Here is a 27721-nt window from a genome sequence, read left to right on the forward strand (position 1 = left end):
CAGAAATCCTACTACCACGTATTAATCCAAAAGAAATGAAAATATATGTCTATACAAAAACCTGTATGCAAATTATAAACACCTTTATTGATATCACCTCAAACTGGAAACAAACCAAATGTCCATCAGCTAGTAAATGAATAAACAAATGGTGGTGCAAACATACAATGGCGATGGTGTGCAGGTGGCCCACAGCCCACACACCCAGGACTGCTAATGTTTGGGTTGACTCACGGTACTTTTACCCTTTTTAGCACATTCAGTGTGCACACTTTTTCAACTAAGTATTTCACAGAGTTGGGCAGGAGGGCAAGGGTCAAAAACCTGCTCACTAGAGAGCAAGGTAGCACTGGCAGTGAAACTTAAAATGATTTGTGCTCCTGATTTAAATAAAAATAATCAGTTGCCTGTGTTTTAGAACTTACAAATGGAACAGTCCTGTAGGTATGCTGCACTAGTTTCCCACTGTTGCTGTAACAAATTACCAAAAACTTAAAGGCGTAAAACAACACAAATTTATTATCTTACAGTTCTGCTTGTCCACGTTCCTTCTGAAGGCACTAGGGGAGAATCCATTTTCTTGCCTTTTTCAGGTTCAAGAGGCTGCCTCCGTTCCTTGGCTTGTGGCCTGACCCCATCTTCAAAGAGAGGAATGGCCAGTTGAGCCGTTTACACATTGCATCATTCTGACTCTGACTCTCCTGCCTTCCTCCTTCATTTATTAGGACACTTGTGATTCCATTGGTCCAACCTGCATAATCCAGGAAATCTCCCCATCTCAAAATCAGTAATCACATCTGCAATCTCCCTTTTGCCATGTAAGGCAACATATTCACAGGGTTTGGGGATTAGGACATGAACATCTTTAAGGGGGCCGCTATTCTGCCTACCACATTTGCTTAGGCAAAATCTAGACAGGTTAAAGACGAGAAAAACAAATCACATATTTCTTTTCAACTCTGACGGATTTGAATACAATTAGGAAGGTCACATTTTCTCATGGTCCAAACAGGCTGAACAAATCAGTTCATTAACATGATCGTATACACTGATAAAGCTATAAATGATTGCCCAAGAGACTGTTGCTTCCTTTTACATTCACTATTGCTATTCTTGGACAACCAGAAACAACTATAAAAAGATGTTTGCTTTTTTAGACACACACACACACACACACACACACGCACCCCCGATTAGAGACTTTCTTCCTCAGGTTTCATTTGCTAGGATTTGCACTTTAAAAGATCCAGTGAGGAACAAAGAAAATAAAAGTAGATCATAAACTTCTCAACCAGATAACCTTTACTGATTTTTAAAAAATGGATGCATACCTGTATAAGGTTAGAAAAGTTGTAAGTTACTAACGTAATAGAGCCAAAAAAAGAAAAAAGATTAGAAAAATTAAATAATATGCCATCCATATTTCTTTGATGAAGTGTCTATACAAATTTTTTTGCCCACTTTTTACTTTCTTTTGTTATTAAAATGTTTAGGACTTCTCAGACTATGATTATGTTATTAAATTTTAAATTTTGAAACTTATGCTTTTTATATTCTGGTTGCCAGTTCTGTACTAAATATATGTTTTGCAATTTTTTTTCCTCGTCTGTGGCTTGTCATTTTCTTAGCAAAGGTTGTTTTTGTTTGTTCGTTTGTTTTTGTTTTTTGTTTTGTTTTTAGATGAGTCTCCCTGTGTTGCCCAGACTGATCTCAAACTCTTGGGCTCAAACAATCCTCCCAACTTGGCCTCCCAAAGTGCTGGGATTACAGGTATGAGCCACCACACCTGGCCAGCAGAGCTTTTTGAAGACCGAAGGATTTAATTTTGATGAAACCCAATTTATCAATTATTTTGCTCCTGTGGTTCATATTGCCTCCTAAGAAATCTTTGCCTAAGATTCCAAAGATTTTCTCCTGTTTTCTTCTAGAACAGCATTGTACAATATAACTTTCTGTTATGGCAGAAATGTTCTATAATCTGTGCTCACCAATACACTGGGTATAGCTAGCCAGATGTGACTTCTGAGAACTTGATATGTTGCTGCAACAACTGAGGAGCTGAATTTTTTAATTTTATTTTGTTTTAATTAGTTTAAATTTAAATAGCCACATGTGGCCAGCACAACGGGCCAGGAAGTTCTAGCAGTGTTATAGTTTTAGGTTTTACATTTTGGTCTATGATACATTTTTACTTAATTTTTATAGAGGTACAAGGTATGTGTCAAGATTATTTTTTTTTAAAATATGGACACCTAATTCCTCCAGCACCATTCTGTGTGAAGACTATCCTGTCTCCAATGAGTTAATTGACACCTTAGTCAAAAATATCAATTGACCATGTTTGTGTGGGTCTACTTCTGGAGTCTGTGCTGTTCCATGGACCTATATGTCTATCCCTTCATCAACTGAACATATAGTCAACTGATATTTAAAAAGAGTGACAAGAATAAACAATGGGGAAAGGATAGTCTCTTTAACAAATGGTATTGGGAAAAGTGGATAGTCACATGCAGAAGAATAAAACTGGACGCTTATCTTGTACTACATACAAAAATCAACTCACCAGCTTGGGCAATATAGCAAGACTCCATCTCTACAAAAAAAAAATAAATATGAGCAAGGGAGTTTGAGGTTGCCGTGGGCTATGACTGCACCACTGTATTCTAGCCTGGATGACAGAGTGAGACCCTGTCTCAAAAAAAAGAAAAAAGAAAAAAAGAAAAGAAAAAACCAACTCAAAATGGATTAAAGACCTAAATGTAATACCTGAAACTATAAAACTTCTAGAATACAGGAAACCTTCATGGCATCGGTCACGGCAATGACTTATTGAACATGACACCAAAAAACACAGGCAATGAATGCAAAAGTAGACAAGTGGTACTGCATCAAACTAAAAAGCCTCTGTACACCAAGGAAAATAATCAACACAGTGAAAAGGCAACCTACAGAATGGGAGAAAATATTTGTAAACCAAAAAATCTGATAAGAGGTTAATATTCAAAATATATAAGGAGCTCCTATAATTCAACAGCAAAAGAACCAACCAAACAAAAATAACATAATTTTAAAATGAGCAAAAGCAGGTGCAGTGGTTCATGCCGACAATCCCAGCATTCTGGGAGGCCAAAGCGGGAGGATTACTTGAGTCCAGGAGTTCCAGACTAGCCTGGGCAACATAGCAAAACTCAGTCTCTACAAAAAAAATACAAAAATTAGTCAGGTGCAGGAGCACGCACCTGTAGTCCCAGCTACTTGGGAGGCTGACATGGGAGGATCACTTGAGCCCAGGAGGTCAAGGCTGCAGTGAGCTGTGACTGTACCACTGCACAACAGACTGGGTGACAGAACAAGACCCTGTCTCAAAAAATAAAAACTTAAAAAAAAATTTTAACGGGCAAAAGGCTTGAATAGACATTTTTCCAAAGAATTCATACAAGTGGCCAACAGGTATATGAAAAGATGCTCAACATTGCTAATCATCATGGAAATACAAATCAAAACCACGAGATATCACCTCACACCTGTTAGGATGGCTATTATTTGAAAGCAACAACAACAACAACAAAACCCAGGATATAACAAGTGTTCGTGGGGATGTAGAGAAATGAAAGCGCTTGTGCCCTGTTGGCGGAAATGTAAAATCATACAACTGCTATGGAGCATAGCATAATTTTCCTAAAAAATTAAAAGTAGAGCTACTATATGATCTAGCAATCTCATTTCTGGGTATTTATCTAAAAGAATTAAAATAAGATATCTGCATTCCCATGTTAACTGCAGCATTGTTCCCAACAGCCAGGAGGTAGAAACAACCTTAATGTCCACTGGTGGATGAATAAAGAAAAGGTGATGTGTGTATATAATGGAATATTACTCAGCCTTAAAAAGGAAGAAAATCCTGTCACATGCTACAACATGGATGAACCTTGAGGACATTATGCTAAGTGAAATAAGCTAGTCACAGAAGGACAAATATTGTACGATTCTTCTTACATGAATTACATAAAATAGTCAAACTCATGGAAGCAGAAAGTAGAATAGTGGTTGCCAAGAGCTGCAGGTAGGGGAGAAAGGGGAGTTGCTACTCAGTGGGTGTATAGTTTCAGTCACACAAGATGAAAAAATTGTAGAGATCTGCTGTACAACTTTGTGCTCATAGTTAACAATACTATACACTTAAAAATTGATTAAGAGGCTAGAGCTCATTTTTAACCATAAAATTTTAAAAATCATTTTGTCTTGATTTTTGTAACTTTATAGCAAGTCTTGAAATCAGGTAGTGTGGATGATCCAACATTTTCTTTTCCAAAATTGTTTTGGCTATTCTAGGTTCTTTACTTCTCTATATAAATTTTAGAAATAGCCTGTCAATTTCCACAAAGACGACTGCTGAGATTGTGACTGCAATTGCATTATATCTGTCGATTTGGGAAGACTGACATTTTGACAGTACTGAAAATCCTAATCCATGAATTCAGTACATTTTACCACTAGTTTAGGTCTTGATTTCTCTCATCAATGTATGTCAGTTTTTGGCATGCAAATCTTATACATGTTCTGTTAGATTTATTCCTAGGTATTTGTAAATTGGATGCTGTTGTAAATATACTCTAAAAAGTTTTCACGTTCAAAACGTTTGCTGTTAGTATAAAAAAGTATGGTTCATTTTCATATATTGACCTTGTATCCTGTGGGTTTGCTAAACTCACCTACTAGATCCAGTAGACTGTCTCAAAAAAAAAAAAAAAAGGTCTCGCTCTGTCCCCCAGGCTGGAGTGCAGTGGCGCAATCTCGGCTCACTACAAGCTCCGCCTCCCGGGTTCACACCATTCTCCTGCCTCAGCCTCCGGAGTAGCTGGGACTACAGGCACCCACCACCAAGCCCAGCTAATTTTTTGTATTTTTATTAGAGACAGGGTTTCACCATGTTAGCCAGGATGGTCTTGATCTGCTGACCTCGTGATCTGCCCGCCTTGGACTCCCAAAGTGCTGGGATTACAGGCGTGAGCCACCACACCCAGCTAGATCCAGTAGCTTTTTGTAAGTTATTTGGATTTTCTTCATAGACAATCATGGTATCTACAAATGAAGGCATTTTCATTTCTTCCTTTCCAATCTGTGTGCCTATTTCTTTTTCTTGCCTTATTACACTAGCTAGGACCTCCTGGACAATATTGAATAGGAGTGGGGAATGCCAACATTCCTGCTTTGTTCTGATCTTAGGGGGAAAGCATTTCATCTTTCTTTATGAAGTATGATGTTAGGTGTTTTCATAAATCCCCTTTACCAGGTGGAGGAAATTTCCTTCTATTCCTTGTTTTCTGAAAGTTTTATCAGGAACGAATGATAGATTTTTGTAAAATGCTTTTTCTGTATCTATTGAGATAATCATATGCCTTTTTTCTTCTTTAGTCCGTTGATATGGTAAATTGCATTGATTGACTTATGTATATTGAACCAACTTTGCATTCTTGCAGTAAGGCTCATTTGGTCATGGTGTATTTTCTACTCTTTTTATATACTAGATTTTATTTGCTAATATTTTGTTTAACATTTTTATGTCTATATTCATGAGGGATACTGGCTTGTAGTTTTCTTATAAATTCTTTGCCTGGTTTTGATATCAGGTAATGCAGGCCACATAAAATTGAAAAGTTTTCTCTCCTTTTCCTTTTGTTTTTCCAGGATAGGGTCTCACTCTGCCACCCAGGCCAGAGTGCAGTGTACAATCATAGCTTGCTGCAGCCTCTATCTCCTGGGCTCAAGTGATCTTCCTGCCTCAGCCTGCTGAGTAGCTGGGACTACAAGCATGCACCACCACACCTGGCTATTTTTTCTTTTATTTTTAGTAGAGATGAAGTCTCTACTAAAGTCTCTACATTGCCCAGGCTGGTCTCAAACTCCAGAGCTCAAGTGATCCTCCTGCCTTGGGCTCTCAAAAGGCTGGAATTACAGGCTTGAGCCACCATGCCCAGCTTTCCTCCTTTTTTCTATGTCTGAAAAAGTCTGTATAAAAATGGTATTACTTCTTTCTTAAATGTTGTAGGATTTGCAAATGAAGCCATCAGATTTTTCCTGTGGGAAAGTTTTTACATTGCCTAGTACCTCTTAGGTAAGCTTTGAGTGTCTGTCAAGAAATGTGTCCATTTGATTTATCAAATTTATTGACATAAAATTGTTTATGATATTCTCTTATCATTTTAATGTCTGTAGGATCTATAGTGATAGCACCTTTTTCATTCTTGAATTAAAACTTATGTCTTCTCCACTTTTCCTTCTTTTAAGTCTAGCTAGAGGTTTATTAATTTTGTCTTTCAAATACCAGCTTTTGGTTTTAGAATCTTTTTTAAAATTTCATTTCTGCTCTTTATTATTTTCTAGTTTCTGCTTGTTTGGGATTTAATTTGCTTTTCTATTTTTAAACTTTTTAAGGTGGAGACTTACATCATTGATTGGAGGCCTTTTTTTGTTTTATAATATAAGCATGTAACGCTATATATTACCTTTTAAGCACTGCTTTAGCTTCGTTTCATACATTTTGATGTGTTATACTTTTATCGCCAGTCCATTCAAAATAGTTTTTAATTTCCTTATGCCTTCCTCTTTGACTTACAAGTTATTTAAAAGTATGTTGTCTAATTTCCAAATACTTGAGAATTATGCAGATATTATCAATTTCTAGTTTAATTCTGTTGTGATTAGAGAACATATTTTATATTATTTCAATTCTTTACATTTGTTAAGGTTTTATGTCTCAGAATATCATCTAACTTGGTGAATTTCCCACATACATTTGAAAGGATGGTATTCTGCTGTTGTTGGCATGTTCTCTAAAACTTAATTGAAACAAATTGGTTGATAGGGCTGTTCAGGTTTTCTATATCCCTACTGATTTTCTGATTACTAGTTCTATGGATTACTGAAGCAGGAGCACTGACATCTCCAACTAAAATTGTTTGTCTACTTCACCTTTGGTTCTTTCAATTTTTTGTGTTAGGTCCATTCATATCTATGCTTGTTGTGCATTCTTCATGAATTTCTCCCTTATTCATTACGTAATATCCTTCTTTTTTCCTAGTAACATTCTTTATTCTAAAGTCTACTTTGTCTAATATAGCCACTTCATCTTTCTTTTGATTAGTGCTTTGCATGACATATCTTTCTCCGTCCTTTTACTTTTAATATATCTATGTCTTTATATTTGAGGTGGGTTTCTTGCAGATAGCATATAGAGTTGGGTCTTGATTTTTTAACCCAATCTGACAATTCTTGCCATATTTAAAAAAATAAGTTAAAATTTCCCTCTACCTACTCCACCTTTTAAAAATTTGGATGTCTTTACATATTAGGCAACCCTTCAAGCCACTAGCCACTTCTATGTGCAATAATGTTTCCCTGTCCTAGAGATTTCTTACAGATTTGTCATGCAAATTAAACATAATACCTTTATTCAAAAATAACTTAAAAGTATACTTGATATTTCTATTCTCCCATTCCTAATGAGACAGAATCAAGTATTATACACCCAATGACTCCCAATATCTGTCTACAACTAAAATCTCCCAAGTCACTGTCAAACCCACTAAGCCAAAAGCCTACTTAATATCTTTGATGTTTCACAGGTACCTCTTACTCAACATGTCTAAAACTCAATTTGTTACCATCCCCTGTACATTCTTCCTTTCAAATTTGTACCCTGTTTTATGTCTCTCCTCTCAGTGAATAGTAGTATCATCCTGCCAATTGCCAAGTCAGAAATTCAGGAACCACCTTCTCTTCTCTCCCTCCATCCAACTAATCATCAAACCCCCATTAATTCTACTCCTATATATTTTTTCGAATATCTTACCTTTTCATTTCCCATCTCATGTGCAATGTTACTAGCCTTTTCGGCAACCATCATTTCTTACCTGGATTTCTGCAAAAGTCTTTTAATGGTTGTTCCTCCTACTTGCAGTTTTGAAGCTCCCAGCATTCTTGTACCCTACTCCCCAAAACTTCTACTCACAAAGTCCTTTGGCTCCCTCTTCTTATCTATCCTCTCTCATCACTCCCTCCTTCACTGAAGACACTGCCCCAACACACACACGTAAATCTATAATAATTAACACTGTACTTCCCAAGTCCTGGAACAACAGATGCTGTCTTTTGCATCATGTCTTTTCACTTACTATTCCTTTATGTAGAACATCCACCTCCTCCTGCATTCACTTAACTAACTTTTACTTATCCTCCAGGTTTTAGTTAAGGTATCCTTTCTCATGGGAAGCTTTACATAATACCCTAATCTAGATGATGTGCTCTTTATCTTTTAGCACTTAACACACTGAAATTATTTTTCTCTCTGTATCTCTTTCTAGATTGCAACCTCCATGAGAGCTGGGGCTGCTTTACTTGTTCATTTCATTCATCACTCTGTTCCCACTATTGTTAAATTCAGTAATCCTTATTACTTAGAAACAGGCACAAACCAGAACAAAGCAGTCAATGGCATAGTGTAATTTGGGTGTATTGACTCAGAGCACCACATTGACTATGGTCTCAGTCAAAAATATTCATCGCCCAACATGTTGACATTCTTATTATTGTGTAAGGCATTATAGGACTTGGACTCAGATGCCTTGGGCAATTCCTTTCAGCCTCTCTGAAGGTTTTTCTTCATTTCTTAAAGGGATTAAGCAATACCTGTACCAAAGTGATATAGGAGAAACAGATTATAGGAGATGAAGCAAAAGCATTTTGTAAATCAAACAATGATACTCAACATATACATATATGTATCCTTGACTAATCCACGGTGGCCAAAGTATAATGGCTTACTTTTATCCATCAGCGTTTTCCACTACTACTAATTTCCTACATTTTCAAATTTATTTTAATAAAGGACAGGATAAATACCAATTACCTTTCTTTTTCTTAAGTCTAAAACCCTTGTTTTAAAATCCTCATCATCCAATATCAATTTTACTTAAAGATTCTCAAATAGTTGCTGTGCACTAAAATAAAATTATTGATCCCTTTATTATACAAACGATCTGTTTTAAGTCCACACTAACATTGTCAGGTTTAGTTATTTCACCTGAAACAAACAAAAAACAACAAAAATATTAGAGGAAACAAAAATTTCTCAATGAAATCTTATAAATAGCCAGGATGTATACCACAATTAAAAGGCATAACTTTTCAGGAAGATTCTTTTTTCTTAAAAAAAAAAAAAAAAGTAAAAACAATGCTATAAATTTCCAGAGGCGGAAGAGCACATAATAAACATTGTTTTATTCCCCATTATCCAAAATAGTACAGTTGGCCTTTGAACGATGCAGGGGTTAGGGGTGCCAGCCCACTGTGCAGTCGAAAATCCAAGTTGAACGTTTGACTCTGCCAAAACTTAACTACTAATAGCCTACTGTTGATTGGAAGCCTTACCAATAACATGAACAGGTGATTAACATATTTTGTATGTTATATGTATTACACACAGTATTCTTACAATAAAGTGAGAGAAAAAATGTGATTAAGAAAAATCATAAGGAAAATACATTTATCGGTATGTATCAACCCCACAAGTTTACAAGATGAATTGTGTCTGAAATGGCGGGCAGCTGCAGCTGCAGACCTCCATACATATCAAGCAATTCAACTTTTTCTTCTAATGTCATGACTTTTCTCTGCTTCTTGGGAGCACTTCCAGCATTGCATGGGTCCCATGGTGTGACGCAAGGTATTGCACTGAACACAATGGAAGTATTGCACTAAACACAATGAAAAATACATGAGAACCTCAAAAGATCACTTTTTACTGTGATACACAATTTTCTGGAGAGATTGACTGCTCCTGCAGAGATGATTAGCATCACATGACATTTTAAGTGGCTATGCACAACACTTGAGCTCATGGCAATAGCAGCAGGAGGTGGCTACAAAATTACTACAATACAGTATGTACTACAGTTAGTTTTATGCAGTTACGATTTAATACTGCATCTTTGTTGTTTATATTTCTCTCAACTACAAACGGTGCCATGTAGTCTATGTTTGTATGTATGTTTTAATAAATTTTACATTTTTATAATAGACTTGTGTATATTTTACAGTAAATGATAAAACAGCCTAGTATCTACATATATGTTCTGCATTCATGATATACCTAAGTTTTTCTTAAATTTTTCAGTATTTCTAGGCTACTTGGGTCATCTGTTTTTTCAAATTGTCACAGATGTCCAAAAATTTTTCTAACACATTGAAAAAATTATTTCAATTATTAGAAATAATTTTTTGAATTTTTTTTTCAAATTATTGAAAATAATCCACCTATAAGTGGACCCGCGTAGTTCAAACCCATGTTGTTCAAGGGTCAACTGTAAAATAAAATCATGAATATACATGGTATATTGAAATAGTAAATATAAATGGTACAATCTCAATAAATGTTTATTATGATTGCTGTAGTTATTTATACTACATTAAATAATGTATGTTGAACTGAAATAGTAAGACCAAGGACAACTAACTCGTTTATGCCTATCTCAAAAATCTGGACCATTAGTAGCTAAACTCTGCAACTGTTTAAAATATTAAAATGAAAAACTGGTTAAATGGAAAAGTCAAACCCTGGATTCCCTCATATGTGTATTTTTCCCCCTGTGGATCTCATCTGACTGGACCTCATATGCTTTCAATAATTTATTTGTAAATTATAATTCATACATAACATCAATCAAATGGCTGCTTTTCCAACAAGGAGCTATGTGTGGGCAAATCACTGACTTTAGCAAACATCTGACAGTTAATCAAGGGGGTCAGGATCGGCTATTTGTACATATTTTAGATGTACGGCATCACATACTGCGTGCGGTCATGAAAGGCTCACAAAAAGCTAGTCACATCCTGGCAAAAGATGTTGTGTGATAAACAGACCATAAACAGAAACTATCACTGGCACTTAGGGGCAAACTCCAGCTGGGTTTCTTTATCCCTAATCCCAGTTTCAGCTGCAGGTTTTTTCCAGAAAGAACAGTAGTTTGATTTACTCAACACTCTGTAGAAGTCAGGGCGTGGTTATCCTCTAAATAATATTACAAACGGATTTTCTCTGAACTCCTGTAGCAACAGGATCTGACAGTGGTTACTGGTAGGAAAAGGTGAAATTAAGATCAAAATAAAAGCCTACAAAAAATAACAGCTTTTAACGACCACCTAGAGACAATGGAGGTAGGGGTATTTTTGAGACCAAAAAAAGAGTGTAACACAGCACAGAACATGAATACTTTTCAAGCTTTCAACACAGTTAACAGTTGAAGAGTATCTGGTTTTGCCAGCTCTCCTATTACTGTTTTATCCCATGTTATTCCAATACACTAATAACCTCCACAAATACAGATTAATCACGTTTCCTTCTTGATCATTAGAGAAGGACTAATTGTAAGAGTAAATTTAGAAAAAATAATCAATGAAATGCTTCCTTTATCTTTTCTAAAACACTAAACTAGAAAGATGTGCAAAGTAAGACTGAGCAGCTTTTTCTACGGCAGGGATCAATGGGAGTGTACGTAATAAATGAATAATTGCATTCCTTCTCCCTGGCCAGCCGACAGAGTGGAAATCGACCTCTGTTCGGCGGGCATGCACAACCGGCTGGCATGGTGTCTGCGTTCCCCTCCTATGAAAGGATCAGCTCTAGTTACATGCCCTGTGCGCGGCCTGAAGCCTGTAACCGGGATTACGAGCCCACTATGAGCCAGGGACTAAAGGTGACACAGATTTCACCTCTTTTCATTACCTTTGAAGGAAGTTCTGTGCCCTGACGAGGAAACTGGGGCCAAGCTCGCATAGGCAGTGCGGCCGAGTCAGCCCTGTGGCCCCCAAGCTGGGGCACGAACCCACCGCAGTGCTTGCACCAGGCACTGGCTCCGAGAGCAAAGGCATGACTGGGCACCTAAATACCCACTAGGCAGGCAGTGACTGCGACAGTAACTCTCTTCTTTTTGGCCACTCTCAGGCCGCAAGTCCTCCAGAAAACGGAAAACTGAGGCGCGAGCCAAGTCACTTTCCAAAGGTCACAGCTGGTAGCAGGCCGAGGAGGGCCTCCAGGCCTGGTGCTTGCGACCCTCAACGACCATCTGTAATAATGCCCAGAGCCTCTGCCAGGATTCCCCAGCCCTATGTTCCCGCGGCCTTTGAGGGGAAAGGGCCAGGGCCTAGACGTTCCCCTCCCGCGTGGTTTTCCCGTCAGCAGCTTTCGTCTGCAAGGGAAAGCGGCGGCCCCACCCGCAGACAGCTGCGAGGCACCGCGCCAAGCGTATGCGCCTGTTCCCAGGCACTCCCTCCTCCGCCTTCACCCTTTTGCCACCTCCGCCCTCCACCCAGCCCCGCCGTGCGCCTGCGCGCCCCGGCCCGTGGGCCAGCGGGCAGTCTACTCACGTGGGCCTCCGCATGGCCCAGCGCCGCCAAGGGCAAGGCGGAGCCTCGCGATCGCCCCGCCCCCTCCGTGCCCCGCCTCCTGTAGGGAGCGCGGGACCCTCGGCTGGCGCGGGCACTTCCCAGCCCAGCCCGGGGCGCCGGCTTCGCCGCGTGCGCGTGCGCATGGTGGGGTTTGGCTGGCTGCGGGATGCGGTCGAGGCCGCCGAGGCCGCAAACTCCAGTGGGAAGGCGGCGTGCCGCGGCCGGCTTCGGTGGAGGAGGGGGCGTTTCCCCGGAAAAGGAAGGAAGTGGGTGTCACGGGCCTCAATACGGCCCCTTTGACGTCTTGAGTGGGAAATCACAAGATACTGCTCCAGATTTTCCCATTTTATGGCTAAATCCAAATGACTCGGACCCCCTGCCCCATCACATCAGGAACTTCAGCAGTTCCTTCCACCAAAGCTCAACTATTGCTGCAAGCGCTTTGGTAATCACGAGCATTATCTATGAAGCTACTGCTGTGGTCAGGGCCCCAGTCGTCCTGCTGAGTAGCAGACTTTGAAAGACGGTGTCCAAGGCCACCCTGCTGGTCAGTGACCTGCTCTAGAGGCTAAGCCAGGGCATGCTTAGAACTTTGATATTTAGACTTCTTACATTAACTTAACCCAGTTAACAGGTTTGTGGGGGCATTTTTTGTTTGTTTTTTTGAGACCGAGTCTCGCTGTGTCACCCAGGCTGGAGTGCAGTGGCACAATCTCTGCTCACTGCAGCTTCTGCCTCCCGGATTCAAGCAATTCTCTCACCTCAGCCTCCAGAGTAGCTGGGATTAGACGTGTGCCACCACACCCAGCTAATTTTTGTATTTTTAGTAGAGACAGGATTTCACCATGTTGTCCAGGCTGGTCTCGAACTCCTGGCCTCAAGTGATATACCCGCCCGGCCTCGCAAAGTGCTGGGATTACAGGCGTTAGCCACCGCACCTGGCCTTGTGGGTTTTTTTTTCTTTCTTTCTTTCTTTTTTTTTTTTTTTTTTTTTTTTTAAGAGACAGGATATTGCTGTATTGCCCAGGCTGGAGTGCAGTGGCATGATCATAGCTCACTGCAGCCTCGGACTCCTGGTCTCAAGCGATCCTCCTGAATCAGCCTCCTGAGTAACTGGGACTACAGGCGCGTGCACCATGCCCGGCTCATTTTAAAACATCTTTTTATAGAGAGGAGGTCTCGTTGCGTTGCCTAGATAGGCCTCATACTCCTGGCTTCAAGCTGCCCTCCCACCTCGACTTCTCAAAGCACTGGGATTACAGGCTCACAAGAGCCACCGCACCCAGCCACTTACTGATATTCTTGTGTAGCTTTCTGGTGGGTAGTTTTATTAAGAAAAGTCTATATCCAGACCATGTCACTATATTCAAAATAAAAAATCCCTGCCTTAGGTGAGTTGTGTGTGTTCTCATACCATGGGTCCCTTGAGAACACGAAGTTTTTTGTGATTGTTGTTCTTAAGGTTACTTTGAAGCTGTCCTGATGGAGTGTGGTAAGATGGGGCATTCCTGGGACAGGACTTAAGGAACATATGTCCCACATTTATCACATTTGGCAGCATTTAGTTTTGCTTGATTATGAGTTCCTGTGGATTTTTTTTAGGTTGATTCCTGGGTGCAAATACCATAAGGAAGTAGCTCTAGATCTGCTGTTCAACCCCCAAATTTCACTTTCTCGTTAATATGGAATTACTGCTACTCCTGTTTTTCCCATCTTCTCTTATGGTGGGTAGTTTTACTGAAGATTATCATCAGAAGGTGGTTAAGAGAATGGGATGATTAAGGAACAATGAGAATTGAACAAATAACAAAACCTTTACTGATTTGAGATCTTCAAGTTCTGCTCCCTCCTTGCCGCCCCCTCACCCAAAAGTCTTAGAACTCAGTGACCGTTCACAGATGGACTCAAATCTTTGCTCATAACATTTGAAAGAATATTCTTCCTGTATTTGGATTTGAATTGCCTCAATTGAAATTTTGGCAGAATGGATGCATTGGAAATTGGGGAGGAGGCAGTGTCAAGGTATTAGGGAAAGGAGGGGATAATCTTGGCTAGGAGAGAGAACAATGAGAGTTTAGAGAAGGAATTTTTTAAAATGAGTGAGTGGCAGATCTAACAATATTCTATGATTTATTTATTTATTTAGAGACAGAGTCTCACTCTTTCACCCAGGCTGGAGTGCAGTGGTACAACGTCGGCTCACTGCAACCTCTGCCTCCCAAGCTCAAGCGATTCTCCTGCCTCAGCCTCCTGAGTAGCTGGAATTACAAGAGCACTCCACCATGCCCGGCTAATTTTTGTGGTTTTATTAGAGATGAGGTTTCACCATGTTGGCCAGGCTAGTCTCGAACTCCTGACCTCAAGTGATCTGCCCACTTGGCCTCCCAAAGTGCTGGGATTATAGGCATGAGCGACCGTGCCTGCCCTCTATGGTTTAATAGTAATGGTAAGCTAATTCTTGAGTGTAAGGATTTCTATATTATTTATGGTGACCAAAAACATTACTGTGTCCTCATTTGGGGAATCTTTTTAGTTAAACTAGGCCTGAAAATTCTTGACAACAGAGTAGGAAGGGCATAGGGAGGGGTTGAGAGCTTAATGACAAAGATAATCTAGGATTGGGTAGATCTCAGTTCCAGTTCTTTTAGTGTCTCTGCAGCACACAAGTAACTAGCTAGCACCAGGTATACAGAGGCCTGAACCTGGAGGGTTGTTGCTGAAATTCCTCGAATGGATGCAGCCAATAAGGGCTCAAATGCTATGTCTAACTTAGTCCCCCAAATTAGAAAGCACCAGATTAATTTACTGAATTATGAGCTCAAGATAGAGACCCTGTGCACCTAGCATAGATATTACAAATTGAATCTCATCAATTACTGATCAAAGACTTAGCTCAGGGGGCCCCTGTGGCAACTTGTGGTCCAATTACAATGAATTTTGGGGAATACTTGCCGAAAGAATTGTATATTTCAAAGTAATAAAGCCCATGGTTGAAGAGTTTTTAAAATACCGCCCCCCGCCTCACCCCGCCATCTGTTTCAGTTTACTTCAGAGGTCTCATTTTGCAATATTGGATTCAGATTGTTGGACACAACATTTATAAGAGATGTTCTACGTTATTTTCTCAAAGCTTCATTTCCAGGATCTTTCTCCCAACTTGTTTTGTAACCTAAAGCTTCCTACTCCCTGTAAAAGACAATACCTTAGCTGAAAAAAATAGTATTTTGATTTCCCACCTTGTGAGGCTGAAGTAGAATAAGTTGTAACAGAAACAAAGTCCTAAAGATAGAAGAATAGGCCTCAAAAGCTGAGGTTGTATAATGGTCGATGAGGGAGATGTCACACCAGTCCACAGTGAAAGGTTAAACAGCAGCCCAGAAGAGCACAAGTGGATATAATTCACTCATTGTGTTTTCTATTGACATCCCTTCCTCTCCCACCTTTTAGGCTAATGTAGATTCTGCCTTGATTAGATGCAAATTTTTAGAACTAGACAGGGGCTTGGAGCTTATGGCTCATTCTGCTCACCTGTACTTTGAGCAAACCGGTTAAGCATTTTCAGGTGACATGGCCAACACCACAAAGCTAGTTATTAGCAGAACCAGAATTAGAACCACTCCCTCCCTGCTCAGACGCAATTGCTCTTCCCTTTTCTCTCCAAAATGGCCACCATCAATTTCTTCCCATCTTGTATGCACATAATGTCACACAATTCAAGAGGTGGAGTCTCTTCCCTCCGCTTGACTTGGTTTGTGATTTCATTTGGCAGCGGAAAGATACAATGAAAGTGATGTTCTGAGACTTCCAAGCTCAGGCCATAGAGGTCTGGCAGCTTCTGCTTCCTCCCTCTGGGGGCCAGCCTCCATGCTTTAAAGAAGCCTGGGGAGGCCAGGCGTGGTGGCTTACGCCTGTAATCCCAGCACTTTGGGAGGCTGAGGCGGGAAGATCACCTGAGGTCGGGAGTTCGAGACCAGCCTGACCAACATGGAGAAACCCTGTATCTACTAAAAAATACAAACTTAGCTAGGCGTGGTGGCGCATGCCTGTAATCCCAGCTACTTGTCTGAAACAAACAAACAAACAAACAAAAGCTTGGGCTAGACTACTGAGTGATGAGACCAGAGACCAGCACACAGACGCAGAGAGGCCACGTGGAGGAGCAGCCAGGTGAGTTCAAGCCTTCTTTTTATGTTGTTTTTGTATGTTTGTTTTTGAGACAGAGTCTTCTTCTGTCACTCAGGCTGGAGTGCAGTGGTGCAATCTCGGCTTACTGCAACCTCCGCCTCCCAGGTTCAAGATATTCTTCTGCCTCAGCCTCCTGAGTAGCTTGGATTACAGGCACGCACCACCACTCCCAGCTAATTTTTGTATTTTTAGTAGAGACGGGGTTTCACCACGTTGGCCAGGCTGGTCTCGAACTCCTGACTTCAGGTGATCCGCCCACCTTGGCCTACCAAAATGCTGGGATTACAGGCATGAGCCACCATGCCTGGCCAAGCCATCCTGAACTACCCAGTGGAGCTCTACCCCAATTCCTGACCCAGAGAATCATGAGAAGCAGGCAACGGAAAGGCTGCTACACCCTCTGACTTTTTATTAACTTGATGGTCATAGTTAAGAAATCAAGACATGAGACTATGGTTAAGTTTCAGTAGTCTCATTAAGACACCCAGTCAGCTAACACTTCCATGTATGTCAGCAGCTCTTCTCCAACAATAAAGGTGTAATTTAAATTACAGTTTATTAATTTGCTGATCAATCGACCCTATGGGTATATTCACTTATACTTAGCATTTAACTGTAACAAAGTTTTTTTTTCTTTTCAAATTCTAATATTCTGGTTATCTACTGCTATACAGCAGACCACCGGAGAACTTGGTGACTTAGAATGACACTACTTATTTATTTATTTTGTAGAGACAGGTTCCCGCCATGTTGCCCAGGCTGGTCTCGAACTCCTAGGCTCAAGTGATCCCAGCCTCCCAAAGTGCTGGGATTACAGGTGAGTGACCGTGCGCAGCCAACACTACTTATTTTGCTCACCACTTTGTAATTTGAGCAGGGCTTCATGAGGATGGCTGGTCTCTGCTGCCCTCAGCATCAGCTAGGGCTGGCTTGAAGTCTGGGGGTGAAGTAATTTGAAGGCTGGCTCTCTCTTGTCTGGAGGTTGGTGGTGGAAGACTTCAATAGCTGGAGGCTAGAACAGTGGGGTTCCTCAGGTATCTCTATCTCTATCATCTCTATGGAGCTTTTACACACAGTCTCTTCAGCATGGTGGCTTCAGGCTGGCTAGTCATCTTACATGTTGGCCAGGGCTCCCAAGATTCACACTCCCAAGAAAGTGATCCCGGAAGAAGCTGTATCGCACTGTATGACTTATGCTCTGGAAGTCATATAGCAACCCTTGTGCCCTGCCATTTGTCCACCCATATTCCATAAAATGGTCTATCGGCCCCACTTCTTGATGAAGGAATGCCCATATCACACTGTTAAAAGGGCAGGTGGCTGCTGCCGTATTTGGAAAATACAATCCTGCCTTGCCCAAGTTCGAAACTCTGCATCTGAATTTCATGCTAGGGATAAAACTTGATAGAAAAACTAATTCCAGGAGCTTTGATTGCTTTTAAAAAATGCCAATTGCAACACTTAACATTAATTTAGTTTCCTGGTACATGTCTTGATTTGGGAGTGCAGTTCATCTTACCCTCCCCAGGGATTTGGATTCAAACTGGGGAGGGTAGAATGTGAATAATCTATCATTTTTGCTGTTTTTGTAAACGTTTTTTTAAAAAAATAGATTTTATAGCCTGCAGTTGACACACACACAATTTTCATCAAGGTTGAGACATTATGAATTTAATCTGACAGCCACCTATTTTAAAGAAAATTAGTTGTATATGCTCTGTAACAAGTTTTGGGTAAATAATAACATATATTTCTACCTGCATGTGTATGCACACATACCTACTCATGTTGTATCTCATTCCTGAAGGATTTCCAGCTTCTCTGCCCAGTTTGCCTGGCATTGTTTTTCTTAAACCTGGCAATGCCACACCAAAGGGATGTGATGCCTTTTTAACTGCTGTCAGCAACACTCAAATGGTCAGGGCAGGAAGTAATGTGTGCAGTATCTTTCTTTAATTCCAGTAGAATCATATTAAGGCTAAGATTTAATTAGCTAAATTGGAGTTTGTATGTGAATAGAAAAACTAACATTTCTATTATTGTAAAAACATGCCCAAGGACATATAGCAATTGGATAAAAGCTGCTATGCTTGTGTGGCATTTTGTAGTTATGAGATAGCTTCTTAGAATTATTACAAATAAAAATAAATATCCAATACATTTATCTATTTCTTGAAGATTATTGTGCCTATGTGAAGTACTTCTCTGTCTGTGGTCTGGCTTTTAAACCTTGCTTTTCCAGCTTACTGTCTTCTAGAATTAAGTTCGCTAAACTATGTTTTCATCACTATCCGAAGACATGATTTTATGAGTCTTTTAACAATGACTTTCCAGACTATCTCTGTAGATTCCACTTTGAGGTTGCCAAATAGCTATATCACTGAAAACTTTGGTATGTATCAAATGTTTCCATTTTAAATTATCTCCTCAACCATGTGATTTCAGAGATTTTGGTAGTCAACTGACTCCTAACATTTTGTGTCTGAAAATTAAGTGTATTGCTAACAGAACCCATCAGTGAATAAAGAATTTGTATTTGTTTCTTTTTATTACACATGCCAGCGCAAAGAAAAGCATTCTTTTATAAAGTGAACTCTCCCCCTTTGTTTATTGGGAATTTTTCATTTTCATAGTTTCTCTCAAAGCGAAGAAATCCAAGAATATTTTTGCAACAAACAATAGAATGAGGACTGAAGGTGTTCCTAGGAAACATTTTAACATTTCAGTTCATTTTAAAGGGATTGAGTTTGTTTTTAAAATTGTTTGTTAGGAATAAGAAAATTGGATTAAATGCCAAAGAATGGTAAAAGAATGCTGTGAGGTGACATTAATTTAGAACAGAAAATGTAATTGCCAGGAAGAAATGGCAGAGTGCATCTTTGTCACAAGCTGATGGGGGCATTACTTTTGAAGTAGCTCTAAAAGACGAGCCTCATATAAAGTCACTGGATCAACATATCTCCCAGCTAAATAAGGCTAGGGCCAGCCGGCACCGTATGATGTGAAGGCCTGTATGCCCCTTTAGCAAAGCTACATTAACCAAGGAAGCTGAGCCTTGAAAGTAGCTTTCACAGGCTACCTACTCACAGAAATTCTCAGAGAAGTAATTTTCATTTAGAAATGAGAAAGTTACTGGAGTTATTACAAATGCTCATCATCACCTCCCCACTCCAAGCCCCCCAAAAAGTGAAAAATGATTTGAATCTACCCTGTTAACATTCAGCTCAAGTTGAACTTGAAGCCATTAGCTATGTGACTATATAGAATATCTGACGGTATCAGATCTTTGGAGGTTCTCCTAACCCCACAAGAGTGTGGCTCAACGGGTGTTTCACATTCCCTGTGTGTTAGTCCACACTAAGGAAACGGCCCAGGGAACTCACCGGATTCTCTTTTCCAGTCTTGCCATTAAGACTGCAATGGAAACTCAGTTTAAAATGATAGAATTACTTGTCATTCACCTAATCTCTCTGAACGTTATTTTCTTCTTTGGTAAAGTGAAGATAAACCCACATACCCTACTTTTTCATAAGAGTGTTGCGGTTTAAAAGAAAAAGGCAAGTAATGTGAAGTGAACATTTGGCATAATCTGGCCCCTATAAGCACATTCTATGAATTGTCCCACCAAATCCTCATAATGACCTTAGGAAACAGGTACAGAGATAAAACTGAGGCTTAGAGAAGGTCAATACCTGGCCCAAACCATATCTGTTAAGTGGCAGAGCCAAGATTTGAGCTGTCTGACTTCAGACTACTAAACTATTCTACCTCTAATATAACATATATGAAAACAACTATCAAATGGTAAAGTCCTAGGCAAACATCAGATCTCACTATCATTAAAACTTTTCTCTGAATCTTTACTTAAAAATTACATTATGTGACCGGGCACGTAATCCCAGCACTTTGGGAGGCCGAGGTGGGTGGATCATGAGGTCAAGAAATCGAGACCATCCTGGCCAACATGATGAAACCCTGTCTCTACTAAAAATACAAAAATTAGCTGGGTGTGGTGGCACACACCTGTAGTCCCAGCTACTTGGGAGGCTGAGACAGGAGAATCGCTTGAACCTGGGAGGCGGAGGTTGCAGTGAGCCAAGATTGCACCACAGCACTCCAGCCTGGTGACAGAGCAAGACTCTGTCTCAAAAAAAAAAAAAAAAAATTATATATGTGTGTGTTCATATATCAGTTTTAAAGTTTCCATTTTTGTTGATTTTGGTGAGGGCAAGATGTTTTTATGCAGATTTTTTTATGATAGTAATATATGCCAGTAATATATGGTCAGTGAAGAAAATACAGAAAAGTCTAGATTAAAAGAAGAAAACGTGATAGCTAAGTCAAACCTAAAAGCATGTTGAATAAGCAGCAACCCACATTTCTCCCCCAAAAAGTAAGGTCATTATAACAATTCTCAGAGGAAGAATAAAATATATTAGCACCATGCACACATCGTTCACACTGTGATATTTATTAAAGGAGGGTCAGGCGACATATTGACTATAGCAAGTTGTCATAGCTTGTCAGCTATAATTAGAAAAAAAAAGAATTGTAAGAAAAATTAAATGAATAGATTAGCCACAAAATGCTTGGCAGAGGTAAGATTTGGCAGATACCTCAAGACTCTAAATTTGCTGACATTACTAAAGATTCATTTCTAGAAAATCCAGATGTAGAAGAAAGATTCCCATAGTGCAACAGTTTGCACAGTTTGCATAGGGTGCTTTAGAATATATTTATTTATTGAGACTGATTTGAGTATTGATTCTGGCAAATGTTCATTTTGGAACTACAGCAAAGGGTCAGAGAATTCCTAAAATTCAGAGTTGTACCTTGGACTTTAGAGGGACATTTGAGGCAGAAATGTGAGTAGAATGCAGGAGACTGGACTCTGAACATGAGAGGCTCTCATTTAAAAGATTATTACTAGAAATGAGCAGTCAGGTGGGACTGTAAACTAGTTCAACCCTTGTGGAAGTCAGTGTGGCGATTCCTCAGGGATCTAGAACTAGAAACACCATTTGACCCAGCCATCCCATTACTGGGTATATACCCAAACGACTATAAATCATGCTGCTATAAAGACACATGCACACGTATGTTTATTGTGGCACTATTCACAATAGCAAAGACTTGGAACCAACCCAAATGTCCAACAATGATAGACTGGATTAAGAAAATGTGGTACATATACACCATGGAATACTATGCGGCCATAAAAAATGATGAGTTCATGTCCTCTGTAGGGACATGGATGAAACTGGAAATCATCATTCTCAGTAAACTATCGCAAGAACAAAAAACCGAACACCGCATATTCTCACTCATAGGTGGGAATTGAACAATGAGAACACATGGACACAGGAAGGCGAACATCACACTCTGGGGACTGTTGTGGGGTGAGGGGAGGGGGGAGGGATAGCTTTAGGAGATATACCTAATGCTAAATAACGAGTTAATGGGTGCAGCACACCAGCATGGCACATGTGTACATATGTAACTAACCTGCACATTGTGCACATGTACCCTAAAACTTAAAGTATAATAATAATAAAATAAAATAATAAAAAAAAAAGAAATGAGCAGTCAGGAATGTCTGTTTCTGTGCTTTTAGTAATTGTTGGAAAGAAGAAATCTAAGACGTAAGCCATGAGATTCCAAAGAGCAGAAAAAGAATCCAGGGAGCCCATTAGGTAAGATATTCAGAGATGAAAAAATCTCACCATGACTTCAAATATATGTGCCCCTCACCCCATTCCTCCTGAAAACCAAGGTGTTTTGTCATTTCTGTGCTGTATTGATTTCCCTTCTAATTTCAACTGCCCTCACACCTGAGGGGAGCAACATTTTTTTTTCTTTTTAGGTTAGATGGATAATGTGCCGATGTGGGAACAAGGTTCAGAGGGTGGCACATCTCACACATGTCATGAACACCCAATCATCATGCTCATGAACTATAGAAGAATCAGAGAAATGGCATTTTCCAATTGCTTCCCTAGACAGGCTGTTACCTGTAAGACCCGTCCCCAGATCCAGAGGCTGCAATGAACCCTCTGAAACCACTGCTTTGTCATTCAGTTATCCTAGCCTTTCTCTGTATCACCTCTGCTTCCCTCTATGGCATCTTCAGCCACTAACTCAGGAAAGAAAAGTTCCAGAAAAAAAAAAAAAGATTGGTGTGAAACACACACACAAACACCCCACACCTTCAAAGTGTCCCCAGTGACAAGTTAAGCAGTCGTCCGAGATTATGTAAAAAATTCCTGAATCCTTTAAGTCCTGTCCTTTATTCCTTTCTAAGCATGAATAATCCAGTTCTCTGATTCCTGGAAAATTATAGGCAATATGTAGAAGGAGAGAAAAAAACTGACTAGTCTCTTTCAGGAAAACTTTCCTGGCCAGGCATGGTGGCTCACACCTGTAATCCCAGCACTTTGGGAGTTCAAGGCAGGTGGATCACCTGAGGTCAGGAGTTTCAGACCAACCTGGCCAACATGGTGAAACCTTGTCTCTACTAAAAATATAAAAATTAGCCGGACGTGGTGGTGGGCACCTGTAATTCCAGCTACTCGGGAGGCTGAGGCAGGAGAATTGCTTGAACCTGGGAGGCAGAGGTTGCAGTGAACTGAGATCATGCCATTGCACTCCACCCTGGGCCACAGAGTGAGATTCCATCTCAAAAGCAAACAAACTTTCCTGAGCTGACAGTTCCTGTTGTCTTTGTTTCTGAAATTTTGTGACCTGAGTCATATTAGACATTTAATATGCACTTAAATATTACATGCAAGGGAACGTACATTTTGTCACCCACACAAAATAATTTGCTGAAAAAATAGAGACAAAGTCATTCCCTCAAGCATAGAAGGTGCTTAATAAATTCGTTAATTACAAAAAAAAAAAAAAAAAAAAAAAATCCACAAACCGTAGAATGAAATAATTAGGAAAGGATTAATGTATTTTATTATACATGAGCCGGAGTAATTTGATTTTATACCAGTTTTATTTTCCTTTTTAAAAAATGCATTTTCAATTTTCATTTCTCACATGTAGGCTTCATGAAGAACCACTAAAAAGGAATCAGAGAGATTCATGCTTCCCAGGCAACAAAATCAGCAAACAGTGAAAGGCAAACTAGGTGTTGATGGTTATAAACAGAAATAAATTATAATCCCTGCTTTTGTTGCTTTGCCACAGAATCATCACCTGCTGCCCACCATTACATTAATTCTCGTCCCTCATACCAGCAACTTCACAGCTGCCCTGTCTCCTTCCACCTTAGTCCAATGATTTTTTTGGGGGGGCGGGGGGAGAGATGGGGTCTCGCTATATTGCCCAGGCTGGTCTCGAACTCCTGGGCTCCAGTCATCTCACCTCAGCCTCCCAAAGTGTTGGGATTATTGTTAAGTTACCTCAAGTAGGCTGTTTCATTATTGTGCAAGCAAGCCCAAAAATGTACTATTTTGAGAGAATAGAACATTTAAATAAGCATAGCCTTTAAATCATCCAACCTTCTAGTCCCAATTTTAATTCACCCATTTCCTTATTCTTAGAAAAAATTCACATATGGGTCAATCATGTCATACAAGAAAGTAACTCAATGCTCACATTTCATAAACTTTAAAAAAAAATGGAGATTTTCTCAGTAATGCTTTTTTTCCTTCTTTTAGATTATTAATAAAAACCTCTACATTTACTGAGGAAGTATTTAAAATTAATTTTGACTTCATGTATTTGCATTTATACGTGTTGCTATTTATGGGCAAAAACTATTCAATGTACAATTAGTGATATTTTTCCCCAAGGGATGAGTTCATGTTTCCACTGAAGAAATTAAACACACACTTTTGATGTATTCACTCTAATTTCAGGATCGATATTCTGAAGAATAAAAATACCCTGTCCAAAACTTGGAGAGTTACTTTGATTTCTTTTTTAATTTCAATTTCATATGTCAGCTCCACCCAAGACTAAGTTCTGCTCCAGGTTCTGATAGTACTGAAATTGCTTTCTCTTTTTCCTAGAGTACGACATAATTCTTACCTAAATGTCAGATAGTCATGGTATTCTTATAAATACCCTTGTTTACAGTAAACTTAATGTATGTTTGGAAAATAATTCATTAAACACTGTAAAATGCTAGTGTTGACGACTTCCTTGTCAACACTAGAAGAGTGAAAGAGCTGATTTAGGATTTGGCCATTTGTAGTGACGACCTAGCAAAATAATTAAGAAAAAACTATTCAACGTTCCCGTTCCATTGATTTCATTTACAGAATGCCAGCTGGTTCCAGTGCTTCTCTGTTTAAATGAATACTAATTTCAAGCTTTTCGAACAGACCTTGCTTAAGGAAAGTCAGGAATACAACATCAGCAAGTTATCCAGCATCAAGTGCAGGCTGCGTGCCTGATGTTTGCAACTGACTCATGAGATTCTGGTGTCTCAAGGATATCTATTTGATATCTTATTCTCAGCTATATAATCTTCCAGATTAAATTGCACCAGAAATAATCTGTGTACACCCCACAGAGAGTAAATAATTAGACATATCTCTGCTCTTCCCTTTTTCCACTCTTGCACATGACTTTGCATGTAATTATGTAAAACCTGCAGGCCTGATATTTTCATTATAATCCTGCAATTACAATTATATAACCAGCTTGCTGTTTCCAATTAAAAATATTTTTTTAAGCGACAAAACTGCCCTACAATGAATGCAACTTATGGTGAAGTTTCCCAGCGATCACACTGGGGAATTCAGAAGCAGAGCTAAAACACTTTCTTCCAACTCTCTGCCCAGTTGATCCATTTATCCCTTTAAAATACATTATGTAGAATCAAAAAATATTTCTGGTCTGAGTATATGGAGGTTCCCTGGGATTTAGGGGATTTCGCTTGAAATAGATTTTTTTTTTCCACAAGATTTCAGCTTTTGCAGAATTAGCTCTGATATGAATAATATTTTCACATCATTTCAAACGCATTTAAATTTCTGAAGGTGTTGCTTAAGGAAGCAACCAATGCAAACTTTGTTAACAGGAAAAACCATGTTTAAAATAAAAAATTAAGCACGGCAGGTACCTAAAAGCCTAAAAACAGAAACAGCATGGAACATTTCTAAGAGTTGGAACGTGTAAAAATATGTATGTTAAAAAAAAAAAGTTCAGAAATAGATCCAAATATATGTGGGATAAAAATTGCATTATAAATCAGAGTGGAATGAAAATAGGGATAGTTCAATATTTGATACTGAGCTACCTGGGCAGCATTCTAGGGGAAAGCCTGTCTTACACCAGGCCAAATTTCAAATGAATAAAAAATGTAAAGGTCAACACCAAAAGCTACCCAAGATCTAGGAGAAAAACAGGATACTTTCTTAATGACCTTGAATATGGTAGACCTTTTCAACTATGAGTCAAATCCAAAAGCCGTAAGAGAAAATACTGGTAAATTCAGGTACATAAAAATAAAATTTATTTTACATTTTATTTTTAAAAATAAAATTTATTTTACATTTTATTTTTAAAAATAAAATTTTACATTTTATATAAGATGAGATAAAAATATTTGTAATTCATACTAATAAAGGTCTTATCTTCCTACTACAGAGGAGCTTAAGTTGAGAAGAAAAACACAAACAGCCCAAAAGAAAATCATACAAGAGGAAAACAATGGGAAAAATTAGATACCATTTTTCTTCATTTGTTCACACACACAAAAAAAGTTTGATGACACCAAGTGGAAAATATTGTTATGTATTACTGTTAAATGCATTAAGTTACTATAAACTTTATGTGTAGGGCATTTTGGCAGTATCTACAAAATTACTAATTATTCCTTTGGCTAGCAATTCTACCTCCACGGATATATTTGTGAAATGACCCTACATAAGATTATTCACTACAGAAATGTTTGTTGGAAACAACACAAATATTCGTCAACTGGAGACTAGTTAAATAAATTATGGTAGCTCCATATAGTGGAATACTATACAGCTATAAATAAGGAGAAAGGGAAAGGGTCCATGTACTGACTTAGAAAGATCTCCAAGAAATAAATAAAATTAAGTGGGTGGTGGGGAAGCAACGGCACAACAGTGTCTGCAGTATGCTACCTTTTGCGTAAAAAGAGACAAGAAAAACTACACTGATTTGTATCAACCCAATACTACCTAGGAAAAAAGATTTGTTGGTATGTGCTAAACAAACTATGTTTACATATACACATAATAACATCAGGACCAGGTGTGGTGGCTCATACCTATAATCCCAGCACTTTGAGAGGCCAACCGGGGGAGGATGGTTTGAGCCCAGGAATTTGAGACCAGCCTAGGCAACACAATAACACCCCATCCCTTAAAAAATTAAAATAAAAATTAGCTGGGCATGGTGGTGTGCACCTGTAGTTCCAACTACTCAGTAGGCTGAGGTGGAAGGATCACTTGAGCCTGGGAGGTTGAGGCTGCAGTGAGCCGTGATGGTGCTGCTGCACTCCAGCCTGGGCAATGGAGTGAGACCCTACCTCAAGAACAGAAAAAGAAAAAAGAAAAGAACGTCAGGTGTGCAGCTGTCTGTGTGTGTCTAGGGTGGTTGGGAACTAGGTAGATGGGGTCAGGGTTGTGAAACAATTTTTAAATTTTCAATAATATGCATATTACCTGTTCAAAAATTAAATCAAAACCAATATTTTTCCCTAATCTAAGCCTAGATGATATTTACTTTACTTCTGATTATGTATCTCTTTAATGACACATTCTTTAAAATTATATGTTGTGCTAGAAATGTAAGATTAATTAGGTTTGGTTGAAATTCATTATTGAAAGAGTAGGTTACAAAAATTAATCATATTCTTGACACTTCTTACTCAATTTTGGCTTTCTTTGTATAATTCTTCTTTATACTTCTACTTCAAATATAACCCTTCTATGTTGCTTAGAAATCTGTGAGAACATTCACTGATCAAGGACCCTAACCTTGTCACTGAAGAATTTTAATCAATTTGAAGTTTTTATGAGCATATAAACGTGTTAAAGTTTTTTTTGTTAAAGTTTCATTCTTTATCACGTACATGAAGTTCTACTAAAGAAGTTAATTG

At 39.1% G+C, this 27721-nt stretch overlaps 1 long non-coding RNA gene and 1 other non-coding gene across 4 annotated transcripts in view, besides 2 other annotated features; both read right to left on the minus strand.

Annotated features, from left to right (window-relative positions):
* Positions 1 to 27721, minus strand: part of LOC124906209 (uncharacterized) — a 73328-nt gene that overhangs the window by 41816 nt on the left and 3791 nt on the right. Inside the window, exons 1-2 of one of the 3 annotated variants that reach the window (XR_007095796.1) lie at positions 11783 to 12311; positions 529 to 8688 (exon numbers count right to left, since the gene is read on the minus strand). The exons of 1 other annotated variant lie outside the window; for it this stretch is intronic. This is a non-coding gene — a long non-coding RNA (uncharacterized LOC124906209). Of the gene's footprint in view, positions 1 to 528; positions 12312 to 27721 lie in introns of those variants that run through there. One more of the 3 variants, XR_007095794.1, reaches the window with a different exon arrangement.
* Positions 12059 to 12138: an enhancer, noted in NCBI's record as "active region_19360". NCBI's record gives its function as "activates an Ori minimal core promoter by ATAC-STARR-seq in GM12878 lymphoblastoid cells {active_cell/tissue: GM12878}" and the evidence as "EXISTENCE:reporter gene assay evidence [ECO:0000049][PMID:35858748]".
* Positions 12279 to 12758: a silencer, noted in NCBI's record as "silent region_14019". NCBI's record gives its function as "represses an Ori minimal core promoter by ATAC-STARR-seq in GM12878 lymphoblastoid cells {active_cell/tissue: GM12878}" and the evidence as "EXISTENCE:reporter gene assay evidence [ECO:0000049][PMID:35858748]".
* On the minus strand, positions 22492 to 22595 carry LOC124906358 (small nucleolar RNA U13). Its single transcript, XR_007096326.1, has one exon. It is a non-coding gene; the product is annotated as a small nucleolar RNA U13 (small nucleolar RNA).

This window comes from Homo sapiens, chromosome 3 (assembly GCF_000001405.40).
Source record: "Homo sapiens chromosome 3, GRCh38.p14 Primary Assembly".
Classification (NCBI taxonomy): Eukaryota; Metazoa; Chordata; class Mammalia; order Primates; family Hominidae; genus Homo; species Homo sapiens.